Source organism: Homo sapiens, chromosome 3 (assembly GCF_000001405.40).
Source record: "Homo sapiens chromosome 3, GRCh38.p14 Primary Assembly".
Taxonomy (NCBI): domain Eukaryota; kingdom Metazoa; phylum Chordata; class Mammalia; order Primates; family Hominidae; genus Homo; species Homo sapiens.
The window spans coordinates 115,958,974-115,979,890 of NC_000003.12; the positions used below are offsets into that span (position 1 = coordinate 115,958,974).

At 37.6% G+C, this 20,917-nt stretch overlaps 1 protein-coding gene and 2 long non-coding RNA genes across 8 annotated transcripts in view; 2 read left to right on the top strand and 1 right to left on the bottom strand.

The window, feature by feature from the left end:
- The window catches only part of LOC124906269 (uncharacterized), a 277,601-nt gene that overhangs the window by 167,873 nt on the left and 88,811 nt on the right, over positions 1–20,917 (top strand). The window lies entirely within an intron of this gene.
- LSAMP (limbic system associated membrane protein) overlaps positions 1–20,917 on the bottom strand; it is a 643,114-nt gene that overhangs the window by 156,600 nt on the left and 465,597 nt on the right. The window lies entirely within an intron of this gene.
- LOC107986116 (uncharacterized) lies at positions 1,909–18,974 on the top strand. Its single transcript, XR_001740859.3, has 2 exons — positions 1,909–2,099; positions 18,816–18,974. It is a non-coding gene; the product is annotated as an uncharacterized LOC107986116 (long non-coding RNA).

Genomic DNA, 20,917 nt, shown 5'->3' on the forward strand with positions numbered 1-20,917 from the left:
AGAATTGTGCCTAGAGGGAGGAGTGCCTAATAAATGTCAGTTCCTTCTCCTTCCTCAGCAAACCATACCCTATAGTTAGGACACAAATTATAGATTTGTCTCCTGATCTAGATGTTTCTATCCTCTTTAGCAATAATCTGCAATATTCTATGTTCTTAATAAGACCTAGATATTTCTTTTCTCACTGTTACTAGATGCCACTAAGGGCTTCCTTCAGTACATTGGGCAAGTTACTGTGGATTTTAGCCTGAGATTTTTTCTTGTGAGACACAGCAGTATCAGGTTTGTAAGGAGACAGAGCTCAATGCATTCAAGGCATAGAGTCTAAAGGTCCAAAATTTTAGGCATGATTTAGGGTGGTGGTTTTCAAATTGGTGGATCCACCAAGAAGAGGAAAGTGAAGAGGCTGCATAGGGAAGGTTCAGTACCCCTCTTCTTTTCTTATATGTTGTAAATCTGTGCTGTATAAGAGTTTAATATAAAACTTTGGTTGGAAAAATTGAGGATTTTATAACTGAAAGACACTTTTAAAAGCCTGATTTAGGAAATGGTTGCTTTTATACAATAAAATGTAGTAGTTCGGAGCATGTGTGTTGGTTATAAGAATAATCTTACTTTGCATCTAACTAGCCTTGTGACCTCAGATAACCTGCTTAGCCTCCCTGTGCTTCAGTTTCCCTATCTACAGTAACTGTGCCTATCTCACAGGTTTGTAATGAGGCCTAAATGAAGTAATATATGGATGTGCTTGACATTGAGACTGGCACACACTAAACACTCACTAAAAGGTAGCTGCTGTTATAATTTTATCATCACTATTACTATTATTTTTGCTATTATTGTTAGATCTATTCCAAAGTTTGGATTTATTGCCTTTTTCTAGTTTGCAATTTAGGTAGAATGGCATGGGATTTCGATGATCTGAATGTGAATGGCAGGCCCCCCAACTCATGTAAAGGGAATATAAAATGTTCTGGTGGCAAAGGGAATATAGAGAGAGTCCATGGGGAGATGGTGTCTTGGGGTCTACGCCATGCTGACTGGTGAACATCCCTTATACCAAACTGAAGATTTGTGTCCCTTACTCTTATGAGCTGAATTGTGTCCCCTGCACCCCAAGTTCATATGCTAAAGTCCCAACCCTTAGTACCTCAGAATGTGGCTGCATTTGGAAGTGAGGTGTGTAAAGAGGTTAAGTTAAAATGAAGCCATTAGGGTGAGCCCTAATCCAATATAACTAGTTTCCTTATAGAAAGAGGAGGTTTGGACACAATGCCTACAGAAGACGAATAATATGAAAACACAGAACAACCTACAAGCCAAGGGAAGAGGTGTGAAGCAGAGTTAGCTTCCAGAAATGTGAGGAAATACATTGTTGTTTAAGCCACCCAGTCTGCGCTATTTTGTCATGTCAGCCTTGGAGATTTCAAATTTTAGTTTAATTCAGAGAACAGGCTTTTCTCTACCAATCCAAATGCAGAGAAAACACACCAGGGCCTGGTACTCCTTTGAAACTCCATTTCTGCTCTTCTTTTTTCCTAAGTAAAATTCTACTGATGCATGTTGTCATCTTTTAGGCATCCCCCAAGTCAGCATGTTAATTTTTTCCGCCAGTGTTTCATCTGATGCTCCCCACCACTGCTATCCTTTCTGAGCAATTGTAATGGCCTCTCTAGCACATGGTTGGCATGGCTTTCCACTTGCACTGTGGAACCTGGCATATTCACCACCTACAAGAAGGACTTAAAGAGTTATCAATTCAGGTTTATATCAGATAATAAAATGCCTGCCAAAATAATGCCCCTGGAATACTCTGAAATCAACTGTTAATAAAAGGCAAACAAAAAAAAATCGTTAATTTTTTTCCCCATGGAGAACTTTCTTTAAAAATCCAGCACAGTCAAAATGAAACAGCTATCAAAGAAAGCTCCCCCATTAGCTGTCAGTTCACAGCAACTTCAGTCAGCTGGTGTGCCTGCGCCTGCAGTAATATCTCCCCAGCATCCTCCCACACGCCCAACTTGACTGCTCTGTGCAAGCCACATTAAACCTGTCTGCCATCAATCCCCGGGTCTGCTTTTCAGCAGCAGCTTAACGAGGTAAGGGAGCTGGCATCACCAAGAGGCAAATGCTATTTCAGAGGGACTGGGAGAAGCTGAGAGAGGAGTGGAAGTGGAGAAAAGCTAGATATAGGACATTAAGCAACATTAAGCAAGCAGGGTTTTTCTCATAAGATCTTCTCATATTGTCATTTCTATGCAGATGTGTTTTCCAGCCTCCTAAAGTCAGAAGAGACAGTGGGAGATGAGTTAGGAAGCACCAAATCATAGCAAGCTGGCCACATTCACACAATTTTATCTTATGGAGAAACTGGAGGACACTGCCAATTCTCCTCTTCTCCCAGGATGAGCTACAACTTTAGGTCTGGGGCTTCCTTTAGAATTCGTAGCAAGAAGCACGAAGAAAAGCATAAGTTTTTGTGTTTGTTTTTTTCCCCTCTTAGACAAATCTGGCTTGAAGCATATTCACAGTGTATGTCACCACTAGGGAAGCTGATCTAGCCTTCTTCCCAGTGCTGCCAATGAAGGGCATAAGCCTCTGGCACTAAGAACAAAATGAAAAATGACTCAGTAACTAAACTGAAAAACAGTTCCCCAATCAATTCCCTGAGGCGGCAATGAGAACACCACGTGGGGCAGTTCAGCCTCCTTCCTCCACTCTCTTCTGAGAGGCCAGTTTCACAGATTGCTTAAAGACCACAGTAATTCTGGATCTGGTGGGGCTTCTGGGAATAGAAGCTAAACTTCTATTTGAAATGCCTCCCTCCTGCTGCTCTTAAATAACGCTGACAACAATAATCAGCATTTATACCAAGAGGGTCCTTCAGAACCTTTATTAAATCCTTTCAAATATACTCTCTTACTTCTATCCGGCAGAGAAAATATGCTTTGTGACAGGTGCCTAAAAGATAGCTGCATGGCTTTTGGGTCCTGGAACTACCTGTTGTCTAAAATAACACCCTTACTTGTGTCCAGACTCTGACAAATGACCAGCAAAGGCACTGGCCTGCACATTTTCTTGACCCAGCAAAGTGGTCTGCTATTTTTTCTTCAAAATCACATAAACAGTAAAGAGACCTTAATGATCGACTTGCCCAACTGCACAGCTGACGTTTGAATTAGAACTGCAATCAAATGGCCATTCAGTCTCGGCTAGAAATCCTGGGATGAAGAATTATAGAAGTTACTATCTCCTGCATGCTGGCTGTCACTGACCACCATTTTTTTCTTTCATGTGCTTAGGCTCTGTTTTTACTAATTCCATTGAACTGACTGCTTTCTCTAGAGGCAATGAGTATGATAGTACTTTATACAAAACAGGGCCAGTGTTGGAAGAGGAACATTTTCTTCATGTCTTTTATTATACAATTTGAGATAATTCTCTAATGACACACCGTGGCATAGTGAAGAGTGCTCTGACCTTGGAGAACGAAGATCCAGGTGTGAGTCCCAGCTTGATCAATTACTACCTTGTAAATAGGGAGGCCTATCAATCTCACTATCTATTTGCAAAACGGGAATAAAACTGTGTATGCTCAAGAGGGTTGTGAGAGAGTTAAACAGGATAATATATGTGAAAGGAATCTCTAAGTGGTAAATTGCTACATATACATAAGCTGTTTATTCACTTTTCAACTTTTAGGTTACTCCTTGGAAAATTGTGCCAAAGTGAGTAGAAAAGGGAAAGGGCCAAGAGCATAGTGATTTAATTAGATCCACAGGACATTGCCTTCGCATGGGTAGATGGAGCCCCCAGCCCTTTGGATTTCAGCACATTGATATGTGGTAACTTAATATGCAAATGATAGGCCTCAGAGGGCACCCAGTCTCCACATGTGCCAATTAATCAAAGGAAACAGTATCATCCTCTAATTCCACTAATTAGGGGATCATCCATAAGCTACTATGTTCTGAGCTACTGAGGTTTAATAAATTTGCAATAAATTATGAGTAATACATTAGCCAGGGACCAACTTACTACTGAGCGATAGGATGAGAGAAGGGTTCAGGTTATTTATATATTTAAATGGTTTTTTTTCCTCAATTTTCTTCTTCTGATTTTCTGTCCTAAAAGTTTCTGAACAACTTGATTGTGTGGGACCACAGGATCTCCATGTTTCGTTGTAACAAGGGGTCCAGAAATCATATATAAGTACAACTACTAAATAATGTGATTAGAATTTTAACACATGTACCATAATTAATCCAAATGATTGGTTGCTTCAAAACTGCCATTGTGTAAATTTGTACACTTGTTCTAATGCTACTACTATGACCCCAAATTAGGGAATCCTTTGAGAATTGCCTTCACATGCTTATTTATTCTTTTGAATCTTCTCAGAGGTGACAAATTGTTCTCTGAGAGTATATTTGAATTTGGAGGCAGTTAAAAGAAGTTTGAAAGTATTGTACTCTGGTTATTAAGGGAGGTAATCAAGCAGGATAATCCTGTTTGTGGTCAGTTGAAGAACCCATCCCATTACCCATGTGCTTGAATGAGGGGATAGATCATGCTAAGACAAAACTCTGACCATTAGATGTGACTCCAGTATGTGATTGAATTTGGCTGAGGGAATGGCGGGTATGACTACTTGAAATCGGTGTAAGAGGGTTTTAACTTCACTTAGAATACAGACATAAGAGGTAGAAGCTTTAGTTCTTGCCGTCTCTATACCCAGAATGATTTTTCCAATTAAGACTCTATCCATTCTTTAATGTTGGTTTATTTATTTATTTTTGAGATGGGGTCTTGCTGTGTTGCCCAGGCTGGAGTGCAGTGGCACAATCACAGCTCACTGCAGCCTTGCCCTCTTGGGCTCAAGCAGTCCTCCCACCTCAGCCTCCCAAATAGCTGGGACCACGGGCTCACACCACCACACCTGGCTATTTTTTTATTTTTTGTAGAGATAGAGTCTCCCTATGTTGCCCAGGCTGTTCTTGAACTACTGAGCTCAAGTGATTCTTCCATTTCAGCCTCCCAAAGTGCTGTGATTACAGGTGTAAGCCACATCACCCAGCCTTCTTTAGTGTTAGTTTAAATGCCATCTCAATTACTAGAGTTTTCCTGATAGTGTTCAATTGACAGTTTTTGCCCTGTTCTTAATAGCTTTTATTGTATCCTGTTTGTACTCTTATGGCACTTATTTTTGGTGTTTTATTTTATTTGGTTTTAAATAGTTATCATCACCTTTTATAGGTGGTAAACTATTTAGGAGTAGGATATGTGTCTTACTCATGTTTGAATCTCACATATCAACTAGAGTAAGCTTTGGGCATGATGATTAATCAATTAATATTAGTTGAGAAAATGAGTTATGGTACAGTGCAGCTGTCACTATATAAATGCAGCAATAGTCATATATACAGAAGTACATCCATGTAGGTACCTAATTTACTTACATGAAAATTACTCTCAATGGTGAAGTGTTAGTAAGCATTTCTTTTAAAATTAGAATGGTTCAAGAATGCCCTCTATCACTACTTCTATTCAGCATTTGGCTGGTGTTTCCAACCAGTAGTATAGGACAAGAAGAAAAAGAAGTACAAAAACTAGCAGGAAAGAAACAAAACATTCATTATGCGCAGATGATAAAATTGTCTATATAAAAACACAAAAAATTCCATACATTTTTGGGATTTAGACAGTTTAGAAAATTGGGTGAATACAGAATGAAGAAACAAAAATCAAACGCATTTCTAGATAGCAGCAAAAACTTAGCTTGAATGGGGATATTTCTAAAAAGGTAACATTAACAATAGTAACAATATTATACCAAATGTAGAGATAAATCTAAAAAACTATATGCTGAATCTTTAGGCATAAAATCACAAAACATTATTGAAAGCCATTAAAGAAGACCTCCACAAATGAAAATTGTACCATATTCATGAGTAAGAATACCTAATATTATTAAGATATCAGTTATTCTCAAATTGACCAACAGATTTAATGTGTGACCTTTTAAATTACTGTTGAACTTGAAAAAGTGATTCTAAAATTTATGTGCATGAACAAAGAGCATACAGTAACTAAGAAATACCTGATGGCAAAAAATACGATATGAGAGAGGGTCCTGATTTATTAAATAGCATACCTACTTATAAATATTAGGCAAGTATATATTTGATATATACAAAGAAAGTATAAATAGACATAGAAATAGATTACTACTTCCCAGAAACAGATATCTACAAAGAAAGGAAATATGAATATTACAGAGTTGGCATTTCAGATAAGTGGTAAACATTTAAACTATAACAATTGTGCTGAGACTATTAGTTTTTAATTTTCCAGGGGAAACAAATGAAATTGTAATCTTACTCAAAATGTACAGAAAATATCAATTCTAACTCATTGAAATGCAAAAAAAAATCAAAACTTTTAGAAGAAATCATAGGAATATCTTATAACCATGGGGTGAAGAAGGATTTCTCAAATAAGATACAAAAAGTTTAAGTCATAATAGAACAGATTAATAAATTCAAGTAAATTAAGCAAAATATCTCTTTTCATCAAACAGTAATTGAAAAAATAAAAAGCTATGATACCAACTAGAAGATTTTTGTATTTTAGGTTTTTTTTTTTTTTGCAGTTTATATAACTGGTAAAGGGTTATTTTCTATATGAATACAAAACTCTTAAAGTCCAAAAAAGAAAGACAAACAACACAAAAATGAAAAATATAAACAGGTAGCTTATTTAAAAATTAAAATAATAATTATGAAAAGATGAAACTTTATTATTAATCAAAGGCATACAAGTTTTTAAGATGGCATAATATTTTATAAATAGCATTTTGACAAACCTTTAAAAGGCTGATAGTTTTGAGTGTGGAAAGTATGTAGAGAAATACAAATTATCTTTAGTTGTATGTATGTATAAATTAATATAAATTAGTAGAACCACTGTGGCAGAAGCTGCTAGTTATCTGCTAATATTGGTCTTTCTCTTCTTTCTCAGTAATAAGATTTCTCTATTGTTAGCTGGCTCCATGGCAAACTGGCAGAAAACTACATTTCCCAGTTTGCCATGTGGGGCAAATGTAACCATATGGCCATGTAAATTCTGACCAATAGGATGAAAATAAAAGTGTTCTGTACATCTTTAAGGAAGGGACTATGCACCTATTGGGTCTTTCTCCTGTTGCCAGCCAAAATGTGGATACACTGGCTGGAGTTCCAGAAACCATTTTCGATCTTGACAGATAAATTTGGGAATGAAAATTGTTCATACAAGTTAACCTATACAGTACATGAAGCCTTGATCTCGACACTGTGGAGTGCCTTACCATCTCTGGAATAACCACCTCCAGGCTTCTTGAACCTGAGATAGAAATGTATGACTATTTTATTTAAACTCCTGTGATTCTGAAATTTTTATTAGCCACAGCAGCCTAAACAAATCTTAACCAATATAACCACATTAGAAAAAGATTTGACCTTCCATAAAGTTAAAAGTGTGCAAATTCTGTAGTCCCACAGTTTTCTGCCTTAAGTATATGCCTTGAAGAACTTTATCCTTACATGCATCAGGAAACAAAAAAAATGTTCATAACACCATGGTTCTAAGACCAAATATTGGAATAACCAAATCCATGGATGGAAGAATAGTTAATTTCATTATGTTTTTATCCAATGAACTACTAATATGGAGCTAGGAATAAACTCAACCTCTGAAGAAACCATAAGCATAATATGATCCATAAGCATAATGTTGAATAAAAATACAACAACAAGAAAATTTAAACAATTTATTATTTGGAGGATACATACATATAGGCAATTTATAAGTAAAAGCAATGCAATAATAAGCCTAAATTTCAGGATAGTGATTAATAAAATAGAACCTTATCAATATCTTTGAAATTCTGTTTATGCCCCTCCCTGGTGGCATCCTGAAGGAAGGGGAAGGGGATGAAACCAGGGAAGGGCATAACCAGAACTTTAAAGATATAGGTAAGGTTCTATTTTTCTTAATCTAGGTGCTCCTCATTACTTATGCAAATTTCTGCAGCCAGCTTGAATTTCTCGTCAGAAAATGGGTTTTTCTTTTCTATCGCATTGTCAGGCTGCAAATTTTCCAAACTTTCATGGTCTGTTTCCCTTTTAAAACCAAGTGCCTTTAACAGCACCCAAGTCACCTCTTGAATGCTTTGCTGCTTAGAAATTTCTTCCACTAGCTACCTTAAATCATCTTTCTCAAGTTCAAAGTTCCACAAATCTCTAGGGCAGGGGCTAAATGCTGCCAATTTCTTTGCTAAAACATAACAAGAGTCACCATTGCACCAGTTCCCAAGAAGTTCCTTATCTCCATTTGAGACCACCTCAGGCTGGATTTCATTGTCCATATTATTATCAACATTTTGGTCAAAGCCATTTGACAAGTCTCTAGAGAGTTCCAAACTTCCCTACATTTTCCTTTCTTTTTCTGAGCCCTCCAAACTGTTCCAACCTCTGCCTGTTACCCAGTTCCAAAGTCGCTTCCACATTTCCATTTATCTTTTCAGCAGCACCCCACTCCTGGTATTTACTGTATTAGTCCATTTTCATACTGCTGATAAAGACATGCTTGAGACTGGGAAATTTACAAAAGAAAGAGGTTTAATGGATTTATATTTTGACGTGGCTGGGGAGGCCTCACAATCATGGTGGAAGGCAAGGAGGAGCAAGTCACATTTTATGTGGATGGCAGCAGGCAAAGAGAGAGCCTGTGTAGGGAAACTCCCATTTTTAAAACCATTAGATCTCATGAGACTCACTCACTATCACGAGAACAGCATGGGAAAGGCCTACCCCCATCATTCAACCATCTCCCACTGGATTCCTCCCACAACATGTGGGAATTATGGGAGCTACAAGATGAGATTTGGGTGGAGACACAGAGCCAAACCACATCACCTCCCTTTTTCCCAAGCAGAGGAGTCCCTCCCTGTGACCACCACCATCCTAGGCCCACAGTGAGTACTGCCTGGCTACCATTGATGTTCACTCAAGGCCCATGGGCTCTTCAGTCAACTTGTGGTGAATGCTGCCAGGCCTGAGACTCTCCCTTCAGGGAATCTGGCCCCCTTCCAGCCCAAAGCAGGTCCAGAAATACCATCCAAGAGCCATGTCCTGGAATAAGGAACCCCAAGAGCCTGCTTGGTGCTCTACTGCACTGTGGCCTAGCTGGTGTCTAAGCTGCAAGACAAAGTCCCTCTTCCTTCTCCTTTTCTCAAGCAGAAGGATTCCCTCCCTATAGCCACCACAGCTGGGAATGTGGCTGAGTTACACCTGAAGTGAGCTCGCCTGTGAGTCACAACCAAGGTCCACGGCAATTACTATCTGGGTATTGCTGCTGATTATTGAGGGTCCAAGTGCTCTTTAGTCAGAAAGTGATAAATCCTGCTAGGACTGGGTCCTTTCCTTCAAAGCAGCAGGTTCTCTTCTGGCTCAGGGTGTGTCTAGACATGTCATCCAGAAGGTAGGACCTGGAATGGGGACCTCGGAACTCTACCTGATATTCTATCCTACTGTGATTGAGCTGATACCCAAGTTGCAAGACAAAGTTCTCTTTACTCTTCCCTCTTCTCTCCTCAACAGAGGGAAGGAGTCTCTCCCAGAGCTGTGAGCTGCACTGCCTGGGGTTTGGGGAGGGATGGTGCAAGAACTCCTTTGGCCACCCCAGCTGATGTTTCACTAGGTCTCTTGTCTTCCAAGTTCAGTGGGTCTGAGCTTAGCACAGCACCAGGACTTGCCAGGGAATTGCAGTCCTTGTGGCCTAGACTGCCTTTCCAGTTTATTTAGGACCTCAGAGTGCCTTGGTCTGCAATGGCAAGGCTTGTTGGAACTCAGGTTCTGACCACTGGGATGGGCAATTCCCCTCTGGCTAGGACTGACCTAAATGCTCCCTCCAGCAGCACTGGCTGGGGTCTACCCAGTCTTGCTTTCTGCAGTGAAAAGCAGCACTGAGTTCCAATGCAAAGACCTACAATCACTGAGCTCACCTTCCCCTAAGCACACAGATTCTCTGACCCACACAACCACTGTCAGGGGTTGTGTCGCAAGTCAAGAATGCCTTTCCTACCCGCTTCAGTGCCTCTTTCAGTGATATGAGGATAAAACCAGGTACTGTGATTGCTCATCTGATTGTTGGTTCTTATAAAGGTGCTTTCATGTGTGGATAGTTGTTAAATATGACATTTCTGCGGAGAGGACGATTGGTGAAGGCTTCTGTTTGGCCATTTTTCACCACTTCCCCTCACATGTATGTTTAAGTATTCTTTTGAATGTACGAATAATTTTACAATAATAGTTGGAAAAAGAGTAGGCAGGGCAGAGTAGCATTTAGAGTTTGGTATGTGTGTGTGAAGTGAATCTGTCTCTAGGAACATGAAGAGATTTAAGCCTGATCATAACCTTCATATTGAAGTACAATTGATACAGCAGAGCACTTCTTCCTCTGCTTTTAAATACATGATGTTTGTCACAGACTTGCAATCCAAATGGATGAAGGTGACCCACCCTTCTGGCGAAAAAATTCTTTGAAAGCTCATGTCTATAATCACCACAATTACAGCTGCTTCCACCACTGCTACTACCTTCACCACCATCTTGGTATCATTCGTTTGTTTTAAATGCTCTCATGTTTCTGACATTTTACTCAGTGTTTTATTAATATTATTATCTTTATTAATCCTCAACAACTAGTGAGCTAGATATTATTAATCATAAGATCTTCTGGGGTAAGGCTCAGCAAAGTGAAAGAACTAGGCTTATCACTGCTAGTAAATGGCAGTTCTTGGGTTCAAATGCACACCAGTTGGGGTCCAAAATGTTACTTTTTAACGTCACATCATACTGCCTAATTTCAAATGCATATATTATACTGTCACCCCTTCAGTGACAATAATGTGTACCATGAATTCTCCAAAGTAATATTCATAAGGATGTTTTAAAGGAGTAGCAGCAAAAGAACAGACTGAATATATAACTGATTAATGACAATACTTCTGAGAGGTTGGAAGATGAGACATAGAGAAAAGATGCAGAACATTCTGAAAAATTGAGGGCGAAAGGACAGAAACAGAGTAAGACAAATTAAAACCAGGGAAATAGGCAGGAAGGGGAGAAAAAGAATCGGGAGAATGAACAGAAAATAATAAGACCATCCTAAAGAATTTATTTTTTCTTTTCCCCAGAAGCCTCTTTCCTCACCTTGGAATAGGTGTTTCATCTTTTGAAATGAGTTGGATAAATAAGAAGAAAAGGTTGAAAAGTAATTTCAAGTCCACAGAGCGAACCCTAGGATAGATTGCTTTTCCCTTGCAAGCCTTTCATCCAGAAAACTTTAAGGTCTTATGGTTTTGGCAATAATTATAACAGTAATCATAATACTGCCTAGCTGGTGTTTTCCCCTTGGCAGTATGTCTGTACCAATCAGTTTGGCAGGATAATATCTTCAAGTTCACACACTAATTTGCATGAATCTGTTTGTTAGTCTACAAAAGTGAGGGCTCTTTCATGCCCTTGGACCTTAGTGTACTTGGGGCTGTCTATCTTGGACATTTGTGCTAATGAGGTACTTTTAGGTCAGAACGAAGAAGTTCTTGCTTAGACTTATTATGTACATTTGAATATTTTAGCTATGCATTTGAATGTATATATCACAGATATATGTACAAATATCTGTGGGGTGTGAAAATTCAGATTGTTAGGGTGGAAATGTGACACTTCGTACTTGCAAAAAATCTTTAAAAATAGGATATTTACCTACTTATTAAAACAGTAATTTTGGTAATGCTGGTTAGCAGGTGGAGCGCACGAGAGAACTTTTCTTCCACTGAATTCTGTGACATATATGTTGTCATGAGACCTATTATTGATATGTGTTAGGGGTTTTTTATAGTAATCACTGGACATTACAATTCATTTAACCCTCTTAATGACTTGTTATGGGAGCTGAGGATGGGAGAGAGGAAGGTGACAGACAGAGTAATGGGAACAATTCATTCAGCTTCTCCAAGGCATGCCAGGGCGAGAAAGTTCAAGTGCTGATTCAGATTATTCAGAGGTATAAGGATTAATCCTAGCATGGATAGGCAGCGCATATAGGGCTGGAGGAGAAGCTATGGAACTGTGATCCTGGAGTGATGAAAGGGCTATAAAACAGGTTTCTTACACTTCCTTTTGAAAGTTCAAAAATTGTGCCTGTACAATTAATGAGGAATACAATATGACTAGATATGCCTGTACATGTTGTTGTTTGTTCCATTAAAAGTTTCATAATAAAACAGAGATCCAAAACAAGATTATGTATTTATGACTATACTGGCAAGTAAAACTTTTGTTAGAACTTCATGATAAAGCTTTTAAAAGGGCTTTATCTTATCTTTAAAAGCCCACAAGGAAAATACTTTTTCTTTTGCTTCACAATACTGAAGGACTCTTGATTTTATATAAAAAGAGTCCTCTTATTTCTAGTGCACTGACTGACCTAATATTATGAAGCTTTGAAATCATTCTTGGCTTGAAACCTAATTATTATTTCATTGCTGCTGAACATTAGTAACATGCCAGATATTATTGTGTTAACTCTTCCTAAAAGTTAGTAAAAATCATAAAGACTCCTCTATCATTTGGTGACTCCATACTTAAATAACTTAGCCATTAACTATTGATAAGGTGATTATCACCATGGAAATTTCCTTTTCCTACTGTATACAACATTAATTGATTATACCTATTAGATGGTAAGCTGCTTAAGGGAATGTTTCACATCAGTAGAGGCTCAATAAATGAAGCTTATTCAATGAAGGAATGAACAAATCAATTAATTTTATAGGCTTAGCAGAAATATAGCTTCTGATAAAGTAGATTCCATTCTTATATTATTTTCTTTTATTGCATTCAATTATCACTTGAGAAGGCACATTTTCCACATTTTTTGGCTACTAATCCTATAAATCCTATACATCTATTAAATAAAGATGTAGAAAATAATTTTCAAGAATATACATTTCATTAGGTTTAGCACACTAATAGAAAAGCTCTAATGGAAGAAAATCTATAAATTCTGGCTATAATTATAGACATCTCCTTCCATGAACAAACTCTAAACTCCTTATTCTATGAACAAGCTTGAGTTCATAAAGAAGAGTCAGAGAATTACTAAAAACAATATTGATAGCATGCTGCATTTCCAAAGAAATGGTAGCATAAAAGGAAAGCCAAAATTTATAGCAACTAAATCATATGAAAAGGAACTGCAAAAGTAAATTATCTGCTTCTAAAAAGAGAGCATAGAAATAAGTTAGAAAGACCAAATTAATAGAACTGTACACTAAAAAGCATGGATTTTACCATATGTAAGTTATGTCAATAAACTACGACTAAGAAAAAAGACATTTTTATTAGTGTCTAATGTCATTATTAAAATTTTTGTATTTTAATACGTTTAAAATATTTAAAATTTTTAATATATTTAAAATATTCCCCACAAAGTATTTCCATTTTGTCAGGGGAATAAACTCTCCTTTATTTGAATTCAAATAAAATTCAAATTACTGAAGCCCTGTTACTATGGCTTCAGAAAAGCCAAGAAACTCATTGTTCTTCATTAAGGGGTAAAGATAAAATTAAAAATATTTGAATTAAGGTTAAGAACACTGACTTTGAGATTAGATTACTGTGGAAAGCTACAAGTTATGATACTGTTGGCTGAATAAACAAACCCATGTAAACAGTAGCTTATTCATTGTTAAAATATAGAAAATAATAGATATGTGATGCAGTTATTGTGAGGATTTAGCATGACAATGCATGTAACACATTTAATGTATTAGCCCATTATATATTATTTTTATATATTATATATTATGTATTATTTTGAATTATATATTATTAATATTTTCTGCTGGGACAATCAAAAAAGGCTTCACAAAGAAGAGTGAGAAGAAAGGACATTACTGGCAAAAACAGTGGAATGAATGAAGAGATTGAGGCAGACAAGAGAAGGACATGTTGTAGTTTAAATGCGGTATTGGATCTTTGAAAGGGAGAAATGGGAGATAGATCTAGAAATATGGGACATCACCAGATGGTGATGGTGTTAAATGTTATTTTAAGGAGTTTGGATCTTAGTCAATGGGTAATAAAAAGCGATTAAACATTTTGGGGTAGGAGAATTACATGATTTAAATTGTACTTTAGAAAGATTAATTTGGCAGCAGTCTATAAAGACAAATTAGAGATGAGAATGGTTAGATGTGAGAAGTCCATCTAGAAGAATAATGCAGGTTGAGTGTCTCTTATTCAAAATGCTTGGGACCAGAAGTGTTTCAGATTTTGAATTTTTTTCAGATTTTGGAATATTTGCATATACATAATGAGATATCTTGGGGAGGGGATACAAGTCTAGGCATAAAATTAATTTATGTTGGCCAGGCGCGGTGGCTCACGCCTATAATCCCAGCACTTTGGGAGGCTGAGGCGGGTGGATCACCTGAGGTCAGGAGTTCAAGACCAGCCTGCTCCACATGGCGAAATGCCGTCTCTACTAAAAATATAAAAAGTTACCCTGGCATGGTGGCAGGTGCCTGTAATCCCAGCGACTTGGGAGGCTGAGACAGGAGAATCACTTGAACCCGGGAGGTGGAGGTTGCAGTGAGCCGAGATGGTGCCACTGCACTTCAGCCTGGGTGGCAAGAGTGAAACTCCAACTCAAAAAAAAAAATTAATTTATGTTTCATATACACCTTATATACAGAGACTGAAGGTAATTTTATGCAATATTTTAAATAATTTTGTTCACAAAACAACATTTGTGTTAAGTACTTGTGTGTGAAATTTTCCACTTACAATGTCATGTTGGTACTCAAAAACTTTGGAATTTTTGAAAATTTGAATTTTGAATTTTTGAATTAGGAATGCACAACCTATACCACTTGTAAAATAACAATGAGGTCTTGAATAAAAATGATGGTAGTTGTGAAAAATATAACGCTGAAGGTATGGATCTGGAATATGTTTTGTGGGTAAAATTGATAAGATTTGGCCTTAGAAATGGAGGGTAGTGTAATCCCAGCACTTTGGAAGGCTGAGGCTGGCAGATTACTTAAGGTCAAGAGCTCCAGACCAGCCTGGCCAACAAGGTGAAACCCCCCTCTACTAAAAATACAAAAATTAGCCAGGCATGATGGCAGGCTCCTGTAATCCCAGCTACTCAGGAGATTGAGGCAGAAGAATTGCTTGAACCCGGGAAGAGGGAGTTGCAGTGAGCTGAGACCGCACCACTGCACTCCAGCCTAGGCGACAGAGCTACACTTCATCTCAAAAATAATAATAATGATAAAATAAAAAGAAAAAAGAAATAAAAAAGAAATGGATGATAGTGACAACTAAAATGAGTGACTGAGGCAGATGTCCCAATCAATCGAGCTGTATTGAGCCAGCTTGAGGGTGCACCCAGAAAAAATGGTGGATCACAGACATATCTGTGACTATTTTTTCCAAATAGGTTCTCAGGAGGTTTAGTATCTACACATTTTCCTTAAAAGTAAGGGCAACAATGAGACAATGATTACATATTTGTGAGGTTTTAGTTAGTGCCCAAATTTTCATTTCACATAGAGTAAGGTGAATCTTTGAAGACAAGGGGAATAGAGGAAGCAGATGTCTCAGGAAGGGGTGAAAAAATGACTAATCTCATCTTGTCTTTGTTTTGTACTGGGAAGATAAGCTAGTAATAGATATTAACAGTGTGGAGTTTTTTGAAAGGGCTGGATTCTGTTTAGCCCTTAAGATAAAAAGTCTAATGGTGGTTAAGGAGGGAGGTGGTTATAATGAGGTGTGTCGAACCTCTCATCCTGACATGGCTGGGAACTCAGCTTCCAAGGTTTCTCTGGGGTCCCCTTGGCCAAGAGGGGATCTGTTCAGTCAGTTGAGGGCTTAGGATTCTTTTTTTATTTCTCAACAGTAAGGGGCAAGAGAAGAACAAATCAAAGCTATGTTGGAGGTTTACAATGTGGACATCTTGGAGTGTTCCTGAGCCAATAATGAGATTGTCCTGGAAGATTATGGATCCTATTTAGAATACTTTGTGTGTGAGATGCAAACATGAGAGACTGGCTGAGCACAGTGACTCACTCCTGTAATCCCAGAAGTTTAGAAGCCTGAGGCAGATGGATGGCTTGAACCCAGGATTTTGAGACAAGCCTGGGCAACACAGTGAGACCCCATCTCATAAAAAAAATAGAATTAAAAGAACCTGACAAACAAACAAAAAAACAAAACATGAGAGACATCCAAGTTGATTTTATGGCACTTAGCCTGTAAATACAGGTCTCGAACTAATGAAAGAGGTTGGGGTAAAGTTTTAGCATTTTCCCAATTTATGCAGATGATTGAAGCAGGGACAGAGCTTTGGGGTGTTCTTGCAGTTAGAAGACAACAAGAAAAAGCAAAGGAGACAGACAGTAAGTTGTTTTCTGAGAAATCAGTTTCAATATCTGTAAGGGCAGGCAGCTGGTTATTCAAGAAAGCGAGAGGGGAGATTATAGTTTGGGGATGGTGAATGGAGATGACTCATTCAAAAACAAACACTTCACTCTCCTGACTCCTGTACTTCTGTGCTCTCCAAGTTATCCTACTTTTCTGACCACAGAGATTTCTAAACCGCCAAAGCATTGACTGTTTTTTTCCCTGTATCTTACATTACTGACCTCTTGAAAATCTCTAACCAATAATCTTCTGTGTAAATAAGACACATATCTATGTTTCTAGTCCCTATCTCTTTCCTGAGATCCATCCTATCATTTCTAACCATCCACACAGCCATTTTTACATCCGTATACCTGACATTCAAACTCAAAATGTCCCAACTGCCCCCTCTTTCCAAAGCAACATCTCTCTTGGTTTTACCATTCTCCCAGTCACTACAGGTTGAAACCTTACAGGGAACTTTACTTTTCTCAGCTCTTTCATGGTAATCATTAATAAGTTCTTCAGCTTCTTTCACCATGCTTAATACCCTTCTCCATTTTCTTTGACACCACTCCAGGAGGCAATTGAAATCTTCTCCAAACTGCATTCCTGTTTCTTCCCATTTTAATCTGTTCTATTTGTGGCTGCATGATTAGTCTCCTTAAAGAGAATTTGGATCATGTCAAAAATTTTCAGTGGAGTATCACTGTCTACTTAACTAAGTGCAAACTTATACTTTCACTAAATATTCTCCATAAAATATTTCCATTTTTTCCAGAAAATAAACAATCCTTTGAATTCAAAATAATTAAATTCACAACGAGAAGATTAGGGGAGATGGAAAGGAGTGGAGAGAAAAAACCGACTTAGCAACTGCAAAAATAAATCGCTAATATTTTTGGAGACATAATATATACATGACAATAAACTCAATCTGAATCAAAAGAGGCTGAGCATAAACAACAAACAAGAGAGGTCATCATCACTGTGAAGGGACTTCTATTTGTTTGAAGAAAAAGATTTCAGAAGCAATTTTAAAAAGATGATCTCCAGGAGACAAATAGTACAGTATTATTTTATTCCATTTGGTCAGGATTCATAGTGAGTGATATGGTTTGGCTCTGCATCCTCACCCAAATCTCATGTTGAATTGTAATCCCCAATGTTGGGGAAGGAATGTGGTGAGAGGTGATTGGATCATGGGGGCGGATTATCCCCTTGCTGTTCTCATGATAGTGAGTGAGTTCTCATGCATCCTGATGGTTTAAAGGTGTGCGGCCCCTCCCTCTTAACTCTCTTTCTCCTCTGCTGCCATGTGAAGATGTGCTTGCTTCCCCTTTGCCTTCTGCCATGATTGTCATGCCACCTGCACAGCCTGTGGTACTGTGAGTCAATTAAAAACTTATTTTCTTTATAAACTACCTACTCTCAGGTAGTTCTTTGTAGCAATGTGAGAATGGACTAATACAGTGAGTATTTCATTCTGTACTAGATATCATCTTTTAGGACAGAACAACTGGGGAACAGCCTTGGGAGAGGGAGCATAACATTGAGCGGAAGAAATGAAATCTATTTCATATTATATGAAATATTATTGAATAAAGGAATACTATTTGGCTTGAAAGTGAGAAGATTTAGAATGACCCAAGATGCCTTTTACATATATTAAGAATGATCAAGAAGAATGGTATTTTACCTTTTTCAGTATGGCCCAGACTAGCATATTAAGACCAATGGATGAAAAGAAGATAGATTTATGCTCAATGTAGAAAAGAAAATTCTCATAGTCACTGGTAAGTTTTCTGTCATCATAGGTTTAAATTTACTCAGTAACAACTCTGAAGAAATATTATAGGGTTAATTCAAGCATCAAGAGTAGAAATTGATCCACATGATCTCTGGGGTGTTTCCCAAATCACAGAATCTAGGATCTACCTTTCTAAAGCAGATTTGGCCCAACCACTCTAATTTACCATAGGTTCCTGCCAGACATGGCCAGTCACTCTCCCTTGTGTTTACTTTACACCTTCCCAATTCAATTCCTTTGCTCAGATTTTGTCCTTTGCCTGAAATGCTCACATACTCCACCAGCTGGTATTGTACTGATTCTTGCAAGTCCAATCTAAATGACTCCTTCTTACTAAATGTCTCCCAACTTAAATATCTCCTCCTTATTGTCCAAGCTGGGTATAACATTTATTAAATGGCAGAGCAGGAATGAATACAACAGAACACCAAAAAAAAAAAAAAAAAAATCTTTGTCTTTTCCTCTGTCTCTCTTTTTCTTTCTTTCAGATTTAAATATGAATAGTCGACTAAAGCAAGTTCCAATTTTGAAGGAAGGAAAGAAGGCCAAACTAAAAAAGAAAGAAGACATAGTCTTTATGGCACTGAAGAACTGAATAAATTAAATTTATCCTAAGTTATTAAAAAAATGGTAGATATTATGACAAACCCCATAGTCTTTCTTTCTTCCTTCCTTCCTGTCTCCCTTCCTTCCTCTCTTCCTCCTCTTCCTTTCTCTTTCTATCTTTTGAAACACGGTCTCTCTGTTGCCCCTGCTGGAGTACAGTGGTGCAGTCATGGCACACTGCAGCCTCGAACTCCTGGACTCAAGTGATCCTTTCACCTCAGCCTGTAGAGCTACAAACACCTGCCACCACGCCCAGCGACTTCTTTCTTAAGGCAAGGAAATGGTAGTTATTTCCTTCTCATAGCAGAGGCAAAATCTATGCCCTCTATAAAAAAAGAAAAGTAAAGGACAACTTTGGTAATATATGGATCTACTTAATATTGGTTCCCAGTAAGAAGAGATTATAGATTGAAATAAACATGACAATAAGGGAGGGCAGACATGATAATCCTCATTTACAGGTAAGGAAACTCAAGGTAAATGAGGCTAAGTTACCTGTTCTTCACCACCAAGATCTTTAACATTCTAATCCAGTACTCTTCCCACCACATCAAAAACTATTCATCAGTAATTTACTATGAATGTTTGAATAACAATGGTGTCAAGCAAGAAATTTTGTGTTTTTTTAATGATAGTGACAAATTACAAGGAGAAAACAAGCTCAGAAATGCAGTATTATTAGCAGTATTCCTACTAAATAAACAAACTATCCTACAGTGATTACCTCCAAGGTAACAAACAGATCCCATCTTATTTCACAGATGAGAGACTAAGAAAAGAATCAATGAAAAAAAAAAAGTTAAGGAGTTGGCAGAAATGATAAAATGGGGGAAAAAATAGGGCAGGCTATCAACTTACAGCCTATCAGTGACCTTGCTGATAAAGGCTTTGGTTGAGAAGTTGAGTGCTACCATGATAAAAGGAGAATTAAGATGATGCCAAGACTATTTGATTTTGCAGTTAGGAAGAAAGCAGTGATAGCCAACTTTAATTGAAATCAAAAGGAGGTGAGTAAGGAGATGAAGTCAACTTTCTTGAGAAATTTGGCACTAAAGGAATAAGAAATTTATTTATTGGTAGAGTGGGAAACATTGTAAAACAGAAAAAAAATCAATAAAACTGAGTTTTATATATTTAAGGCAGAGAGCTATGCATGAATAAAGAGATATTGAAAAGGCAAAAGGAGATCAATATCTAAGGGTTGAAGACGTGGAGTATCTTAAAGATTTTTTTTAAAAGGAGTGCACAGATAGAGAGACTAGACATGGGGAAGAAGAGCAAAGAGGGGAGAGAGGGAAGAAAAAAAACAGAATAAGTTGGTCGTATTGAAGCTTCTCCATCAACCCTAGAACAATTAGCTTCCACCAGTATTTGTTTTAGGAGGAATAGTTTAAAGAGGAGAAAAGGAAAGGTGAAAAGGCCCAGTCTAAGGGCTCTAGTTTATATGGAAGGACGTGAGAAGAACAACAATATTGTGAGATTTACCAATTTGAAGAGAATGCAAAACTTTTATTATATCCATTATGAAATATATATATGAGATATTCAGAAAGAGTTAGATACAAGTATTGCTTAGCAGCAGGATTCAGTTGATATGAGAAAGCATGGCTTTGAAGGTTCTATGATTTTCTTTAGAAGTACCTTTGGGCCCAGAAATATAAGCAGAAATTAGACAGTGGCTAGTATTCAGGTTAGAGGCTTAGAACATAGTTTCTTCATGTAACCTTGGATTGAACTTCCAAGGGAGATTGAGGAATCTCCATTGCCTAAAATCTCAAAGAACATGAGGTCCCTTGGAGTACTATGGTTCCACGAATAGTAATTCTGATCACCATACATCAAGTTTCTCTCCTCTGAATAAAGAACAGAGATTATTCCTTCTAATCATGGTGCATCTTCCATTGACTCAAATACTTATAGCTGCATATAGTAGTTGTTTAATAAGTGTTTGCTAACTAATTCTAAATGGAAATAGGTTTTGGAC